At 36.3% G+C, this 18418-nt stretch overlaps 1 protein-coding gene across 1 annotated transcript in view, besides 1 other annotated feature; it reads right to left on the bottom strand.

The window, feature by feature from the left end:
* Positions 1-18418, bottom strand: part of SLCO1B1 (solute carrier organic anion transporter family member 1B1) — a 108603-nt gene that overhangs the window by 15987 nt on the left and 74198 nt on the right. The window contains exons 11-13 of the mRNA NM_006446.5: positions 17777-17942; positions 6507-6691; positions 1446-1510 (exon numbers count right to left, since the gene is read on the bottom strand). Coding sequence (NP_006437.3) covers positions 1446-1510; positions 6507-6691; positions 17777-17942 — 416 coding nt within the window. The remainder of the gene's footprint in view (positions 1-1445; positions 1511-6506; positions 6692-17776; positions 17943-18418) is intronic.
* Positions 8422-9019: an enhancer, noted in NCBI's record as "H3K27ac-H3K4me1 hESC enhancer chr12:21367725-21368322 (GRCh37/hg19 assembly coordinates)". NCBI's record gives its function as "activates a minimal SCP1, AML or CMV promoter by ChIP-STARR-seq in primed H9 embryonic stem cells {active_cell/tissue: H9 hESC(primed)}" and the evidence as "EXISTENCE:reporter gene assay evidence [ECO:0000049][PMID:30033119]".

Below are 18418 nucleotides of genomic sequence, written 5' to 3'. Positions count from 1 at the left end.
CGCCAGTAGAGAACTGTCCTTAAGATGGTGCAACTAAAGTGTTCATAACTTTACTTTGTTTTTTTTTGTATTGTGGTGAATAATTTTCAGAATTTATTTTGCCATGGATAAAATGATAGTGATTGATATATCACAATTTTACTAATTCCATTTAGTTTTCCTCAGTCTCAATTTTTTGAGAGTGAGAAATATTAAAATGACAAGGGACTGAGGCCAATGTATCTGAGAAAACCCGGTACTGAGGAAATGAGTGAGAAATTTTCAGGTTTCAAAAATCACAGCCACCCTTTGAAAAATGAAAAATATATGCTAACAGTTTATTTTCCCCACATAATGCCACTGATTTGAACAAACGTAATGGATTGTTTTAAGTAATAAACTTTGTCCTAATCACTACAATTTTAAAACTCATAACCTATTTTCTAAATGACTTTTTCAGGTAAATATATAGGCCTTCCACAATTTACACGTTTATTGTATTCAAGACAATTGTTTATGAATTGAAAGTTTTGTACTAAATGTGTATTTTTTCCATAGGTGCATTTAGGTTCCATCGTGCCACAGATTGGATACATCGAAATAGGATACTCAGAATTAGAATGGTGAAACTCATTTTTTTTCCTATTTTCTATTGCTAAAAAAAATTTTACTCCATTCTCATAGTCTCATTTCTACATATGAGAAGGAGTACTAACAACCCAGATGTTACTTTAAGCTTTTGTCACCCAGGTTCTAGCAGAGAGGTATCTCCATTGAAACTGAAGGTAGAAACCTGCCAGAATGTACAGAGTCTGGGAGATTAGAGACACACAAAACGGAACGGAGGGAAGAAAACCAACAGAATACTATAGCATCTCATTTCCTCTCTTCTATTCCCTTTATATTTCTTCTTTTTTAACTTTGAGGATTTGTGACTTTATCATCAAATACGCTTCTTAGACAATTTCTTCATTGTAATTTGGCCATAGCCTGGCCAGATTCTCTGACCAGATTCCCACGCTTCCCAAGCTAGCTTTAGGCCTTGCCTAAATCATGCCACAGTTTAGAAGTTAGGCCCTTCACTCTGCCTACTGGGAGGAAATATTCTTATTTTTCTGAAAAAAAAGAAAAATTTGGAGGACCATCTATCTTTGTGTTTGAAAGAGTGTAATACAAATACAATAATTCCTTAGTCTTAACAGATTGACTTTATGTATAATTAACAATCGAATTCTCCTTTAGGTCCATCACTCAATTTTACTCTGTCTCTTATTGTTTTTATTTATCACAGAAATAGAAAGGATACTAATTTTATTTACTATCATAATTAAAGATTCATTACAGTCTTTAATCCTTGACATTAATATTTATAACTTAAATTTAATATATGTATGTGTGTGTGTATATATATATATATATATATATATATATATTTTTTTTTTTTTTTTTTTTTTTTTTCATCATACCTAGTGCTCGTATAACCATTGAGTGGAAACCCAGTGCAAGTGATTTCAATTCAGGTTGAACAATTCTGAAACAAGACAAAGGCAAAGAAACATTAAATATCATTAAAATATCAAAACGAAACAACATTAAACCTTCTCCTGTGTTGTTTTTCTCCATGATAGAATTAAGCTCACAGTTGAATGGCCCCATTATATAAAATTATATTTTAATTGTTTTAAAAGGCAAACACTTGAGCAATAATAATAATTATTCCCTTATTTATTCAATGCATCATGATTTCAAGATGGCTTAAAATATTTTCTCATATGGTACTTATGAAAATCCTATGAGGAAGTGGTTAGAACAGACTTTATTATGCCTCTGAAGATACTGATTTTTTGTGGTCTAGTCAGTGTTATAATAAGTGTGAAAGAGCATGAGTCTTTTTCATAAAATGATTTACTTTCCTTTTGGTAGATATCCAATAGTTGGATTGCTGGGTCAAATGGTACTTCTATTTTCAGATACTTGAAAAATCTCCACATTGTTTTTCATAAAGGTTGTACTAATTTATATTCTCAACAGTATATAAGCATTCCTTTTCCTCAACATTCTTACCAGTATCTTGCTTTTTGACTTTTTAGTAATGGCCGTTCTGACTGGTATAAAATGGAATCTCACTGTAGCTTTAATTTTCATTTCTCTGATGATTAGTGATATTGAGCATTTTGTCATATGTTTGTTGTTTGTTGACTGTTTGTCTTTTGAAACATGCTGGTCGTATCATTTACCCTATTTTTAATAATTTTTTTCTTGATGAGTTTTTTTGTATTTCTTATAGATTAAGGATATTAGCCCTTTGTCAGATGTATTGTTTGTAAATATTTTTTCCCTTCCTGTAGGTTGTCTGTTTACTCTGTTGATTATTTCCATTGCTGTGCAGGAAATTTTTAGTTTAAGTCCCATTAGTCTATTTTTGTTGTTATTGTTGCATATCATCAGTGAACAGAGTTTATTTGAGTTCCTCTTTTCTAATTTGGATACCTTTTCTTTCTTTCTATTGCCTGATTGCTCTAGCTAGGACTTCCCATACTATGTGCAGTAAGAGTAGTGAAAATAGACACACTTGTCTTGTTTCAGGTCTCAGGAGAATGCTTTCAACTTTTTTCCTTTCAGTATGAAGTTGGCAGTGGGTTTGTCATACATAGCTTTTATTATTTTGAGGTATGTTCCTTTGATGCCCAGATTGTTGAGGATTTTTGTCATGAAAGATGTTAAATTTTATCAAATAATTTTTCTGCATCTATTGAGATGATCATATGGTTTTTGTTTTTAATTTTGTCTTATCAAATGGTTTTGGTTTTTAGTTTATTCTATGTGGCAAATCACATTTATTGATTTATATATGTTGAACCAACCCTTCATCCCTAGAATAAAAACAACTTGATCATGTTATAAAATTTTTCTTATGTGCCATCGGATTTGATTTGCTAGTGTTTTATTGATAATTTTTTCATATGTTCATCAGGGATATTGGTTTGTGGTTTTCTTTTCTTTTTTTTTTTTTTTAGACCAGTCTTGCTCTGTCTCCCAGGCTGGAGTGCAGTGGAGCGATCTTGGCTCACTGCAGCCTCCGCCTCCCAGGTTCAACTCCTGTGAACTCTCAGCAGCCCTTGACACAGTTACTTATGCTCTTTTTGACATATGCTTTATTAGTTTGAGGACAACGCTCTTTCCTAGTTTTTCTCATGAAACCTCCTCAGTTTTCTTTATTGGTTTCTCCTATTAGTGATCTTTAAATTAGAGTGATTGAGAACTGATCCTAGGATCTTGTTTCTATCTGTACTCAGTCCCTAGAAGATCTCATTAGTTCCATGGATTTTAATACCGCCTTGGGGGATTGCTTGAATACAGGCATTCAAGGTTACAGTGAGCTATAATCATGCCATTATACTTCAGCCTGGACAACAAAATGAGACCTTGTCTCTAAATAAATAAATAAGTAAAAATAAAAATAAATACCATCTGTACGTTGCTGACTCTAAAATTTATGGCTCTGGCATCAAGGTTTCTCCTGTTGGATTGCATATATGACATTGCTAGATATTGAACAGGCTGCTCAGCTTTATAGAGATAGAACAAATTCTTGCTTTTTCACTTTCCCAATCTACCCTTTCTTAGTCTTTCCCATTTTGTTCAATAGTACCACCATCCTTCCAGAACTCAAGCCAGAACTTTGGGATTATCCTTAAATTATCTTTCTCACATGCCACATTCAATGTCTCAGCAAACCCTACTGGCTTTGCATTAAAAAATAAAACAAAGGCCAGGTGCTGTGGCTCAGGCCTGTAATCCCAGCACTTTGAGAGGCAGAGGCTAGCAGATCACTTGAGGTCAGGAGTTTGAGACCAGCCTGGCCAACGTGGTAAAACCAGGTCCTACTAAAAATACAAAAATTAGTCAGGCACGGTGGCGTGCACCTGTAATTCCAGCTACTTAGGAGGTTGAGGCAGGAGCATCGTTTGAACCTGGGAGGCGGAGGGTTGCAGCAATCCAAGGTTGTGCTACTGCACTCCAGCCTGGGTGACAGAGCAAGACTGTCTCTCAAAAATAAATAAATAAATATAATAAAATAAAGCAAAACAACTGAGACTCATATTTGTTTCATTTACTCATTTCATTTACTTCATATTTTCCTATTATCAGCATTCTCAATCAAGCTTCCATCTTGAGAAGAACAATTCAAGCCTTCTGTTTTCCCTGACTTCACTATTGTTTTCACAAAACACACTTTCTACCCACAGCCAGAGTGATCTTCTAGTTATGTAAGGCATCTTTGCAAATACTAATGCTTAAATCCCCTTGGGCTTTCAACACATTTAGAATATATTTCAAAGTCTTTCCTGTGACCCATAGGATCTGAACTAGGCTAGCTCTCTTGCTGCACTTGTCACCTCTCTCCTCCTTACACACGTTTTTGGACCTTGTACATGTCAACTATACTTCACACCAGGACGCTGACCTTTCTTCTACCTTGCCTGGATTGTTCCTCCTATGTCTCCATTTAGCATGGCTTGTACCTTTATTTTCTATCTCTTCATTCAGGTCTTTACTCAAAGGACTTCCAAAGCACCATATCTGAACTAGTATCTCTTGCCTATTTTCTCATTTTTTTCTATTTTCTTAACTGTGATTTATTTATCTTTCTAGTGCTTCACACTTACTCTATTTTAGATGTTTACTCACTTATTTGTTTACTGTGTTTTCTGCTACACACATTCATTCCTTCATTCCCCACCCATACTAAAAGCTTATAAAGTTCTATCACTTTTGTTCACAGTTGCATCCTCAGTGCATACAACTATGCCTGACATAAAAAATGAATACATATTGAATAAATGGATGTCCTTCTGCCTACTTAATCAAGTTTAAAAAATAGCTTCATAGTGTTAAGCATTAGAAAACTATTAACAAACTGAAATTTATATTTTTATTCTGTAGTCATATTCACAAAATGCTTATTTCAATAAAATCAAAGGCTAGCAAGAGTTAAATATTTTTGACAAGTTGTAATGCTGATTTAATCAATTTCTGAAACAGATATGATATTGTTATCATCGATGATGGAACAGTGTTTTTTCAAACTCATGAGTTTAAAATAAAAAGCTAAAACCTGTTGATATGCAGACTATTATTTAATTTTAAGGTTATTTTTAATATGTTAATGAATTTAATTTGGCAAATATGAAAGACTTCTCCTTTTGAGTAGACAACATTTTATATTAAGATGGAGCTATATCTGTGGCATATTTAGTATAAATAATTTGATAAGATTTGCAGTCAGGGTCAAAATTAAACAACTGTAAATTCAATTTACAGGTTGATACTAATGTTAACAAATGTTAAAAATGCTTTTTTTTTTCATCTCTACCATGTCATGCTGTTGGCTGACAGTGAACTTATGATCAACAATGTAAGTTTTAAAAGTACAATTGAATGTTAACCCAGGTCACTATACTTACACATGTATATTTTTAAGATCTAAAAGCAATTATTTACATGTTACAAGTTTTAGGTGATTGAATCAACTTGGCCAGTAGGGCATGCATTACCTGCACCCTTCCTAACTCTCCAATCTTATCATGTGTCACAACCTCTCATTCAGTATGTTTCAATCTGCCAGCTTCTTTTCATTTCTCAAACACACCAGCTCTTTCCTGTATTAAGGCGTCAGCACCAAGACCCTCTCCTGGAAACCCTTTCATTTGGCTTTTTCTTTAGACCTTTAGAATAAATGTTACTTATTTTGAGATGTACTCTGAATCCTCTTCTTCACAGCCCCCCACCTCAATCCTAAATTAACTTTCCTTTTGAATCTTTCTTTTTAGGGAAATCTTTTTCCTGATGAGGACTCAGAACAATTTATAAATATGTGCTTTGATTTTAAGATTATTTATCTCACACCAGTCTTTCCTGTAATTTTGAAAGCTGTATGACAACAAGTATCTTATTGGTTTCATTTACCATGTAATATTCACCAAGCATTGTATCTTTTCTAATGAGCCAAGAAAGGAACTAATTCTTCCTGTGTATTTTTTTATTTTTCTACAAGGGTATTATAAAAGTCATGCTGTGAGTCGATTAAAAGTTTTGGAATGTTATCAAATGGAGCATATTTTATATCTAGTTTTCAAATGCTTTATTTTAGTGAAATCAATAGATTTACCCTGAGAGATGCAAGGCATCTCTCATTAGGATGTAAGGCAACTCAAAATTCAACAAGTTCTTTTAGGATCCTAGGGCGATTCTTTTACAACTGAGAGAATTGTCAGTCTGTGTCTTCAGATTCTTAGTAAGAGAAGAAACGTATGGAATCTGGACTTTTAATGGAAGAATTAGAGGCAAAATTATTAATTACAGCCTTGAGAGTTCATAGTAATTTTAATAAAATGAATTCTCAGAAAATTAAAATTTGATGAAATATGAATTTGAATTCCCAGTATATTATGTAAAAATATGCATATCATTAGGTGTGTTTATAGTCTCATGCATATGAAAATGTTTTTAAAAGTCATACTTACTTAACAATCAGCATGACATGTGAGGTGCCTCCAAGTGCAGAGAAAAATAAATTCAAGACTTGTATTGCAACAAAAAAGTAAAATTTCCTTGTACAAGCATCATCTCTTGGGCATTCACCCAAATGGGCTGAGTAATTTCTGTTCTGGAGACCAGTTACTTCCAAACAACTGCAGTTGTAAAACACCTTAAGCGTTGTGTATAAAATATGACATAAGAAATTTGCAAGACCTAACAGTGCTGCAAATACATTGCATTATATTTAGTGAAGTCTCACTTGTTCAAACTAATATATTTACAGTTTAAGAAGATTCTAAAAATACAGTTGCTTAAGAGATAAAAGGTAAAATAGTTTTGTGGATTTCTTTCTATATAAGACAATGTAATTCATGATTGACATTTAGTTCATTCTTAATTTTAAAACTAAGAAACAAAGAAATTAGTGCCTAGAACTCTGTATACAATTTTCTCATCACTATAGATTCTCTTTAATAATTATTTTCCATTCCCTTTTACCCTCTGCAGAGCACATACTCTTTTGGACAATCTCTAAGTTTCAGAGACATGCCCTGAGGAGGAATTATCCAAAGAATTCAGATAATTTAGCAGTTTGGGAGTAATCAAAATTTAACTGGAGTCACCCATGAAAATGGCACTGAGTCCAGGAAAAATAGAGACAGGTAGAGATGCTAAAATTTTAATTTAGCAGGCATAAACAAAATCCAAGGATACAATGACAGATGATATTATTACCAGAGAGGTTAAACACAACAGAATGCCCCACTAGTGTTTAGAGCACAGAAGTGGAAAATGTAGAAACAAGTGATTTCAGATTTTTAATCAGTTGAACAGTTTATATAGACAGGTGGCTTTAATAAATTCTGTTCTAAATCTAGGCTAAAGTTTAAGGGAACCTCACGTTGAATCTATTAATGCTAAAGATCAATTATTGAAGGAAGAATTGTAGAAGAATTTAAATCTATACATCTACAGTTCTGCCAAACTTACAGTTCTTACTATTTTTTTTCACTAGGAATAATATAGAGGAATTTTTTATGGAACAAGTGTATTGGTCAATAAAACTAAGCTTTGGTACAAAGAACACTATTTTAAGAAGTGATGGTTCATTATTGAGGATTTAGTAATAAATAAATAAATACACAAATAAATAAATAATAAAAACTTTGCAATAGTCCCCAAATGGCATAGTCATTGCCAGTATAATGAAGATTATGTCTTGTGGTAGACACAATTCTTTTTAGGGTTCTAATATTCTATCACTTTCAGGCCTTCGCTAGTGTGCAAAGAGGGAGCATGTATTAACTGGGTCATTCTTATCCAACCATCCAAAATGAACCATCCAACAACCATCCAAGACGAACAAAGAGTAATTGAAACCCTGAACACTAATATAGAGTTCCAAATTTGAATCAGTACTGAAAAAACCTGCCTATCAATAAAAGCCCTAGACCAAATGCATTCATAGCCAAATTCTACTGGAAATACAAAAAAGAGTGAGTACCCACTGTACTAAATTATTCTGAAAAATTGAGAAAGAAGGACTCTTTCTTAACTGATTTTTTTGAAGCCAGAATCATCCTGGTACCAAAATATAGCAAGACACAAAAACAACAACAACATCAAAAACAAACCAACAGGCCAATATCCCTGGTGAATATAGATGAATATAGATGCATATAGGTGCAAAATTCCTCAACAAAACACTAGCAAACTGAATCCAGCAGCACATCAAAAAGTGAATTCATCATGACCAAGTAGGCTTTATTTTTGAGATGTAAGGATGGTCCAGTATACACAATCAATAAATGTGATTCACTACATAAATGGAATTTAGGATAAACAGTATATGAGCATTTCACCAGATGCAGAAAAAGCTTTCAATAAAATCCACCATCCTTTTATGATAAAGTTCTTCAACAAACTGGGCATTGAAGGAACATAGCTCAAAATAATAAGAGCCATCTATGATAAAACCACAGCCAACTTCATATATAATGTGCAAAAGCTGGAAGCATTCTTCTTAAGAACAGGAGCAAAGCATGAATGCCCACTCTCACCACTCCTATTCAACATAGTACTGGAAATCCTAGACAGATCAATCAGGAAAGAGACAGAAATAAAACACTGACAAATAGGAAATGAACTCACATTATCTCTCTGCACTATGATATGATTCTATATCTCAAAAACCCTGGTTGGAGGAGCCAAGATGGCCGAATAGGAACAGCTCCGGTCTACAGCTCCCAGCGTGAGCGACGCAGAAGACGGGTGATTTCTGCATTTCCATCTGAGGTACCGGGTTCATCTCACTAGGGAGTGCCAGACAGTGGGCGCAGGTCAGTGGGTGCGCGCACCGTGCGTGAGCCGAAGCAGGGCGAGGCATTGCCTGGCTTGGGAAGCGCAAGGGGTCAGGGAGTTCCCTTTCCCAGTCAAAGAAAGGGGTGACGGACAGCACCTGGAAAATCGGGTCACTCCCACCCGAATACTGCGCTTTTCCGAGGGGCTTAAAAAACGGCGCACCACGAGATTACATCCCGCACCTGTCTTGGAGGGTCCTACGCCCATGGAGTCTCGCTGATTGCTAGCACAGCAGTCTGAGATCAAACTGCAAGGCGGCAGCGAGGCTGGGGGAGGGGCGCCCGCCATTGCCCAGGCTTGATTAGGAAAAACAAAGCGGCCTGGAAGCTCGAAGTGGGCGGAGCCCACCACAGCTCAAGGAGGCCTGCCTGCCTCTGTAGGCTCCACCTCTGGGGGCAGGGCACAGACAAACAAAAAGACAGCAGTAACCTCTGCAGACTTAAATGTCCCTGTCTGACAGCTTTGAAGAGAGCAGTGGTTCTCCCGGCACGCAGCTGGAGATCTGAGAACGGGCACACTGCCTCCTCAAGTGGGTCCCTGACCCCTGACCCCTGAGCAGCCTAACTGGGAGGCACGCCCCAGCAGGGGCACACTGACACCTCACACGGCAGGGTATTCCAACAGACCTGCAGCTGAGGGTCCTGTCTGTTAGAAGGAAAACTAACAAACAGAAACGACATCCACACCGAAAACCCATCTGTACATCACCATCATCAAAGACCAAAAGTACATAAAACCACAAAGATGGGGAAAAAACAGAACAGAAAAACTGGAAACTATAGAAAGCAGAGCACCTCTCCTCCTCCAAAGGAATGCAGTTCCTCACCAGCAATGGAACAAAGCTGGATGGAGAATGACTTTGACGAGCTGAGAGAAGGCTTCAGACGATCAAATTACTCTGAGCTACAGGAGGACATTCAAACCAAAGGCAAAGAAGTTGAAAACTTTGAAAAAAATTTAGAAGAATGTATAACTAGAATAACCAATACAGAGAAGTGCTTAAAGGAGCTGATGGAGCTGAAAACCAAGGCTCGAGAACTACGTGGAGAATGCAGAAGCCTCAGGAGCCGATGCGATCAACTGGAAGAAAGGGTATCAGCAATGGAAGATGAAATGAATGAAATGAAGTGAGAAGGGAAGTTTAGAGAAAAAAGAATAAAAAGAAACGAGCAAAGCCTCCAAGAAATATGGGACTATGTGAAAAGACCAAATCTACGTCTGATTGGTGTACCTGAAAGTGATGGGGAGAATGGAACCAAGTTGGAAAACACTCTGCAGGATATTATCCAGGAGAACTTCCCCAATCTAGCAAGGCAGGCCAACGTTCAGATTCAGGAAATACAGAGAATGCCACAAAGATACTCCTTGAGAAGAGCAACTCCAAGACACATAATTGTCAGATTCACCAAAGTTGAAATGAAGGAAAAAATGTTAAGGGCAGCCAGAGAGAAAGGTCGGGTTACCCTCAAAGGGAAGCCCATCAGACTAACAGCGGATCTCTCGGCAGAAACCCTATAAGCCAGAAGAGAGTGGGGGCCAATATTCAACATTCTTAAAGACAAGAATTTTCAACCCAGAATTTCATATCCAGCCAAACTAAGCTTCATAAGCGAAGGAGAAATAAAATACTTTACAGACAAGCAAATGCTGAGAGATTCTGTCACCACCAGGCCTGCCCTACAAGAGCTCCTGAAGGAAGCGCTAAACATGGAAAGGAACAACTGGTACCAGCCACTGCAAAATCATGGCAAAATGTAAAGACCATCAAGACTAGGAAGAAACTGCGTCAACTAAAGAGCAAAATAACCAGCTAACATCATAAAGACAGGATCAAATTCACACATAACAATATTAACTTTAAATGTAAATGGACTAAATGCTCCAATTAAAAGACACAGACTGGCAAATTGGATAAAGAGTCAAGACCCATCAGTGTGCTGTATTCAGGAGACCCATCTCACGTGCAGAGACACACATAGGCTCAAAATAAAAGGATGGAGGAAGATCTACCAAGCAAATGGAAAACAAAAAAAGTTAGGGGTTGCAATCCTAGTCTCTGATAAAACAGACTTTAAAACAACAAAGATCAAAAGAGACAAAGAAGGCCATTACATAATGGTAAAGGGATCAATTCAACAAGAAGAGCTAACTATCCTAAATATATATGCACCCAATACAGGAGCACCAAGATTCATAAAGCAAGTCCTGAGTGACCTACAAAGAGACTTAGACTCCCACACATTAATAATGGGAGACTTTAACACCCCACTGTCAACATTAGACAGATCAATGAGACAGAAAGTCAACAAGGATACCCAGGAATTGAACTCAGCTCTGCACCAAGCGGACCTAATAGACATCTACAGAACTCTCCACCCCAAATCAACAGAATATACATTTTTTTCAGCACCACACCACACCTATTCCAAAACTGACCACATACTGGGAAGTAAAGCTCTCCTCAGCAAATGGAAAAGAACAGAAATTATAACAAACTATCTCTCAGACCACAGTGCAATCAAACTAGAACTCAGGATTAAGAATCTCACTCAAAACCGCTCAACTACATGGAAACTGAACAACCTGCTCCTGAATGACTACTGGGTACATAACGAAATGAAGGCAGAAATAAAGATGTTCTTTGAAACCAACGAGAACAAAGACACGACATACCAGAATCTCTGGGACGCATTCAAAGCAGTGTGTAGAGGGAAATTTATAGCACTAAATGCCCACAAGAGAAAGCAGGAAAGATCCAAAATTGACACCCTAACATCACAATTAAAAGAACTAGAAAAGCAAGAGCAAACACATTCAAAAGCTAGCAGAAGGCAAGAAATAACTAAAATCAGAGCAGAACTGAAGGAAATAGAGACACAAAAAAAAACCTTCAAAAAATTAGTGAATCCAGGAGCTGGTTTTTTGAAAGGATCAACAAAATTGATAGACCGCTAGCAAGACTAATAAAGAAAAAAAGAGAGAAGAATCTAATAGACACAATAAAAAACGATAAAGGGGATATCACCACCGATCCCACAGAAATACAAACTACCATCAGAGAATACTACAAACACCTCTACGCAAATAAACTAGAAAATCTAGAAGAAATGGATAAATTCCTTGACATATACACTCTCCGAAGACTAAATCAGGAAGATGTTGAATCTCTGAATAGACCAATAACAGGATCTGAAATTGTGGCAATAATCAGTAGCTTACCAACCAAAAAGAGTCCAGGACCAGATGGATTCACAGCTGAATTCTACCAGAGGTACAAGGAGGAACTGGTACCATTCCTTCTGAAACTATTCCAGTCAATAGAAAAAGAGGGAATCCTCCCTAACTCATTTTATGAGGCCAGCATCATTCTGATACCAAAGCCAGGCAGAGACACAACAAAAAAAGAGAATCTTAGACCAATATCCTTGATGAACATTGATGCAAAAATCCTCAATAAAATACTGGCAAAATGAATCCAGCAGCACATCCAAAAGCTTATCCACCATGATCAAGTGGGCTTCATCCCTGGGATGCAAGGCTGGTTCAATATACACAAATCAATAAATGTAATCCAGCATATAAACAGAGCCAAAGACAAAAACCACATGATTATCTCAATAGATGCAGAAAAAGCCTTTGACAAAATGCAACAACACTTCATGCTAAAAACTCTCAATAAATTAGGTATTGATGGGACGTATTTCAAAATAATAAGAGCTATCTATGACAAACCCACAGCCAATATCATACTGAATGGGCAAAAACTGGAAGCATTCCGTTTGAAAACTGGCACAAAACAGGGATGCCCTCTCTCACCACTCCTATTCAACAGAGTGTTGGAAGTTCTGGCCAGGGCAATTAGGCAGGAGAAGGAAATAAATGGTATTCAATTAGGAAAAGAGGAAGTCAAATTGTCCCTGTTTGCAGATGACATGATTGTATATCTAGAAAACCCCATTGTCTCAGCCCAAAATCTCCTTAAACTGATAAGCAACTTCAGCAAAGTCTCAGGATACAAAATCAATGTACAAAAATCACAAGCATTCCTATACACCAACAACAGACAAACAGAGAGCCAAATCATGAGTGAACTCCCATTCACAATTGCTTTAAAGAGAATAAAATACCTAGGAATCCAACTTACAAGCGATGTGAAGGACCTCTTCAAGGAGAACTACAAACCACTGCTCAAGGAAATAAAAGAGGATACAAACAAATGGAAGAACATTCCATGCTCATGGGTAGGAAGAATCAATATCGTGAAAATGGCCATACTGCCCAAGGTAATTTACAGATTCAATGTCATCCCCATCAAGCTACCAATGACTTTCTTCACAGAATTGGAAAATACTTTAAAGTTCATATGGAACCAAAAAAGAGCCCACATCGCCAAGTCAATCCTAAGCCAAAAGAACAAAGCTGGAGGCATCATCACACTACCTGACTTCAAACTATACTACAAGGCTACAGTAACCAAAACAGCATGGTACTGGTACCAAAACAGAGATATAGATCAATGGAACAGAACAGAGCCCTCAGAAATAATGCCGCATATCTACAACTATCTGATCTTTGACAAACCTGAGAAAAACAAGCAATGGGGAAAGGATTCCCTATTTAATAAATGGTGCTGGGAAAACTGGCTAGCCATATGTAGAAAGCTGAAACTGGATCCCTTCCTTACACCTTATACAAAAATCAATTCAAGATGGATTAAAGACTTAAACGTTAGACCTAAAACCATAAAAACCCTAGAAGAAAACCTAGGCATTACCATTCAGGACATAGGCATGGGCAAGGAATTCATGTCTAAAACACCAAAAGCAATGGCAACAAAAGACAAAATTGACAAATGGGATCTAATTAAACTAAAGAGCTTCTGCACAGCAAAAAAAACTACCATCAGAGTGAACAGGCAACCTACAAAATGGGAGAAAATTTTCACAACCTACTCATCTGACAAAGGGCTAATATCCAGAATCTACAATTAACTCCAACAGATTTACAAGAAAAAAACAAAAAACCCCATCAAAAAGTGGGCGAAGGACATGAACAGACACTTCTCAAAAGAAGACACTTATGCAGCCAAAAAACACATGAAAAAATGCTCATCATCACTGGCCATCAGAGAAATGCAAATCAAAACCACAATGAGATACCATCTCACACCAGTTAGAATGGCAATCATTAAAAAGTCAGGAAACAACAGGTGCTGGAGAGGATGTGGAGAAATAGGAACACTTTTACACTGTTGGTGGGACTGTAAACTAGTTTAACCATTGTGGAAGTCAGTGTGGCGATTCCTCAGAGATCTAGAACTGGAAATACCATTTGACCCAGCCATCCCATTACTGGGTATATACCCAAATGACTGTAAATCATGCTGCTATAAAGACACATGCACACGTATGTTTATTGTGGCATTATTCACAATAGCAAAGACTTGGAACCCACCCAAATGTCCAACAGTGATAGACTGGATTAAGAAAATGTGGCACATATACACCATGGAATACTATGCAGCCATAAAAAATGATGAGTTCATGTCCTTTGTAGGGACATGGATGAAACTGGAAAACATCATTCTCAGTAAACTGTTGCAAGAACAAAAAACCAAACACCGCATATTCTCACTCATAGGTGGGAATTGAACAATGAGATCACATGGACACAGGAAGGGGAATATCACACTCTGGGGACTGTTGTGGGGTGGGAGGAGGGGGGAGGGATAGCATTGGGAGATATACCTAATGCTAGATGACGAGTTAGTGGGTTCAGTGCACCAGCATGGCACATGTATACATATGTAACTAACCTGCACAATGTGCACATGTACCCTAAAACTTAAAGTATAATTAAAAATAAATAAATTAATTAATTAAAAAAAAACCCTAAATACTCTGCCAAAAGCCTCCTAGAACTGACAACATACTCTAATAAAGTTTCAGAATACAAAATCAATGGAAAAAAATTAGTAGCATTTCTATACACCGATAACAGTTAAACTGATACCCAAATCAATAATGCAATTCCATTTAGAATAACTACAATAAATTAAATACCTAGGAATACATTTAAACCAAGGAAGTGAAAGATCTCTACTAGGATAAATACAAACCCTGATGAAAGAAATTATAGGTGACACAAACAAGTGGAAAAACATTCTACTCTCATGGATTGGTAGAAAAATTATCATTAAACTGTCTATACTGCCCAAAGCAATCTACAGATTCAATGGTATTCTTATCAAACAACCGGCATGATTTTTCACTGAATTAGAATAAAACTATTGTAAAATTCCATAGGAAAAAAGAGACTGAATAGTCAAAGCAATCCTAAGCATAAAGAACAAAGTGAGAGGCATCCCATTACCTGATATCAAACTATACTGCAAGGCCACAGTAACCAAACAGCATAGTACTGGTTCAAAAACAGACACCTAGACTAAAGGAACAGAATAGAGAACCCAGAAGCAAAGCCACACACCTAAAACCATCTGATCTTCAATGAAGTTAGCAAAAAGAATGCAATGGGGAAAGTACTCATTATTCAGTAAATGGTGCTGGAATAACTGGCTAACTATGCAGAGAAATGAAACTGGACCCCTTCTTTTCATATAAAAAATTTAATCAAAATGTATTACAGACTGAAATGTAAAACCTAAAACTATAAAAACCACTGAAGAAAACCAAGAAAAGATTCTGGATATTGGCCTTGGCAAAAAATTTGTGACTAAGTTCTCAAAAGCAATTGCAACAAAAAAAATGGACAAGTGGGATATAATTAAACTAATGAGCTTCTGCACAACAAAAATAATCAACAGAGTGAAAAGACAATCTATGGAATGGGAGAAAACCTTTGCAAACCATGCATCTAACACAGGACTAATATCCAGAATCTATAAGAAACTTGAACAATTCAACAAGCAAAAAACAAAAACAATATTAAAAAGTAGACAAAGGACATGAACAGACACTTCTCAAAAGAAGACATACAAGCAGCTAACAAACACATAAAAATGTTTAACATCACTAATCATCAAAAAAATGCAAATCAAAATCCCAAGGAGATACCATCTCACACCAGTCAGAAGGGCTGACTGGTTCAAAACATTAAAAAAACAGACGCTGGCAAGGCTGCAGAAGAAAGGGAATGCTTATCCTATGTTGGTAGGAATGTAAATTAGTTCAGTCACTGTGTAAAGTAGTTTCGAGATTTCCCAAAGAACTTAAACAGAACTACCATTCAACTCAGCAATCCCACTACCGGGTATATACCCAAAGGAAAATAAATTCTTCTACCAAAAACACATCTACTTATATACTTCTATGGTCATCACAGCTCTATTCACAATAGCAAAGACACGGTCTCAACCTGGGTGCCCGTCAACAGTGAATTAGATAAAGAAATGTGGTACATATAGACAATGGAATACTACATGGCCAAAAGAAGGATGAAATAATGTCCCTTGCAGCAACCTGGATGCAGCTGGAGGTCATTATCTTAAGTGAATTAACATAGGAACAGAAAACCAGATGCCACATGTTCTCACTTATAAGTGGAAGCTAATCACTGGGTCCACACGAATATAAGGACAGGAAAAATACATATTACAGACTACTAGAGTGGAGAGATAAAAAACAGCAAGTACTAAAAAGCCACTTATTGGGTATTATGCTCACTACCTGGGGGATGGGAATGATTGTACCCTAAACTTTAGCTTATCACAATATACCCATCTAACACAAATTCATTTGTATCCCCTTTACCTAAAATAAGAGTTAAATTATTTTTTTAAAAAACAGCAAAATAAAAATAAACAGCAAAGGAAAAGGAAACAACTGCACAAAAGATTCATTGTTGCCATGACTAAGATGTGGGCTTTTAAGTAGTCTTTGGGCCATATTTGTGCAAGTTTATTAAAGTTGTGGCCTTTCTTCAAAAAGTCCAGGATGCTTTATTCTTTAAAATTCTACATGCCATTCCTTATTATAATTGGTAGGTAGATCCATGGGCAAGAGTAGATGGAGAATGTTTAAAAATCAAACACAGAAGGGTGTGGCAGAGAGCAATAATTATAGTTGACTGTTTTAGTAATGTTGGTAATAGTAAAAGTTCCTAGGAAAACATTACACAACTTTGTGAGATGTTGAGTGGATTGTAGGTATGGGAAACACCATAACCCATTCCCAGTGACAGGTAGCTACCCAGGAGATTAGAGAAAAACTGTAGTTCACATGGAAAGAAAGGTTTTGCAGGACGGAATAAATGACATTTCTATGGGACATATTGACATTAGGTGAGCAGGATACTACATTATCTTGGGTAGAAGTGCCAGCTTTGGAAAAATCAAAATAGAAAATCAAGAATAGGGCAGTCAAGTGAGCATGAAGCCTTGATTAATTTCTTAAAAAGTAAAAAGGGTAGTGATCCCAGAGCTAAACAGATCAGAATCTGTATATAACATTGCATATTGACTGTTGTCTTAGTAAGATAGGAAGTGCTGACAATGGGTTAACTCATTTTCCTGAATTCTGAGGGATAAAGTAATTCCAACTTAATGAAAATTATAGGCTTTAGTCAAATGAGGTGCTTCTTAGATATTCTAAATGCATTCAAATTCTAAAAGGTCATAGTCTTACAATCTCAAAGGAAAAAAGTGGGGTGATCTCCAATTAGAATTCAAGTAACAGAAAAACCTGATTGTGCCCTAAGCAGACTTTTATATAAAACTTTGTTTATACATCACACCCATCACAATAACAGATAATACTGGAAACTTTCTCTTTTATCTTTTTAATGGAGTCCTTAGTTACAGAAATATTTGGTAAAAAATTGTTCAATCTAATCTGTGCTTTTGAATAAGGAGAGGAAAGTAAAAACTAATACTCACTATAGGCTTTTTATTGCCACTTGAAGATTTGCAACCTGCTAGACAGGGTGAGATGTAAGTTATTCCATTGTTTCCACAGACTGGTTCCCATTGACTTTCATCACAATTGCAGTCTGAGTTGCAATAAGAAAGTGGTACATCTCTATGAGATGTCACTGGATTATTTCTGGAAATATATGATAGACATATATCAAAAAGAGAGAGAGAGAAGAAAAAGACAAAGAAGGGGAGGAGAAGGAAGAAGTAAAGTGAAAGCAGAGAAAGAGGGAAAAAAAGTAGATAAAGAATTTTTCTTTATATGAAGAAATTTGCTTTGATGATGACGAAATGGCAAAGTTTTTTTTAATGCTTATTTATTTTACGCTCTCCATCTTTGCCAATACATGACTTGTGACCTAGAAAAAGCAAAATGTAAAAATAAACCAAAGATGTTAAGTAGGACTTAGACAAGAAGTTGTTATAATTCTATGAAGAAACTTCACATTAGATAAGTTACATCTTTTTTCTGAGACTGAGTTTCTCTTCAGTAAGGTGATGACATTAGACTGACATTCCTTTCAGCTCACTGTAAAGTCTTGTGAGTCTACGAATGCTATTTAACTAGGTTGAATTTAAAAATCTCTATTTTAATATGTAAGAAAA

This window comes from Homo sapiens, chromosome 12, assembly GCF_000001405.40.
Source record: "Homo sapiens chromosome 12, GRCh38.p14 Primary Assembly".
NCBI classification, from domain to species: domain Eukaryota; kingdom Metazoa; phylum Chordata; class Mammalia; order Primates; family Hominidae; genus Homo; species Homo sapiens.
This window is presented reverse-complemented; position numbering and strand designations above follow the sequence as displayed.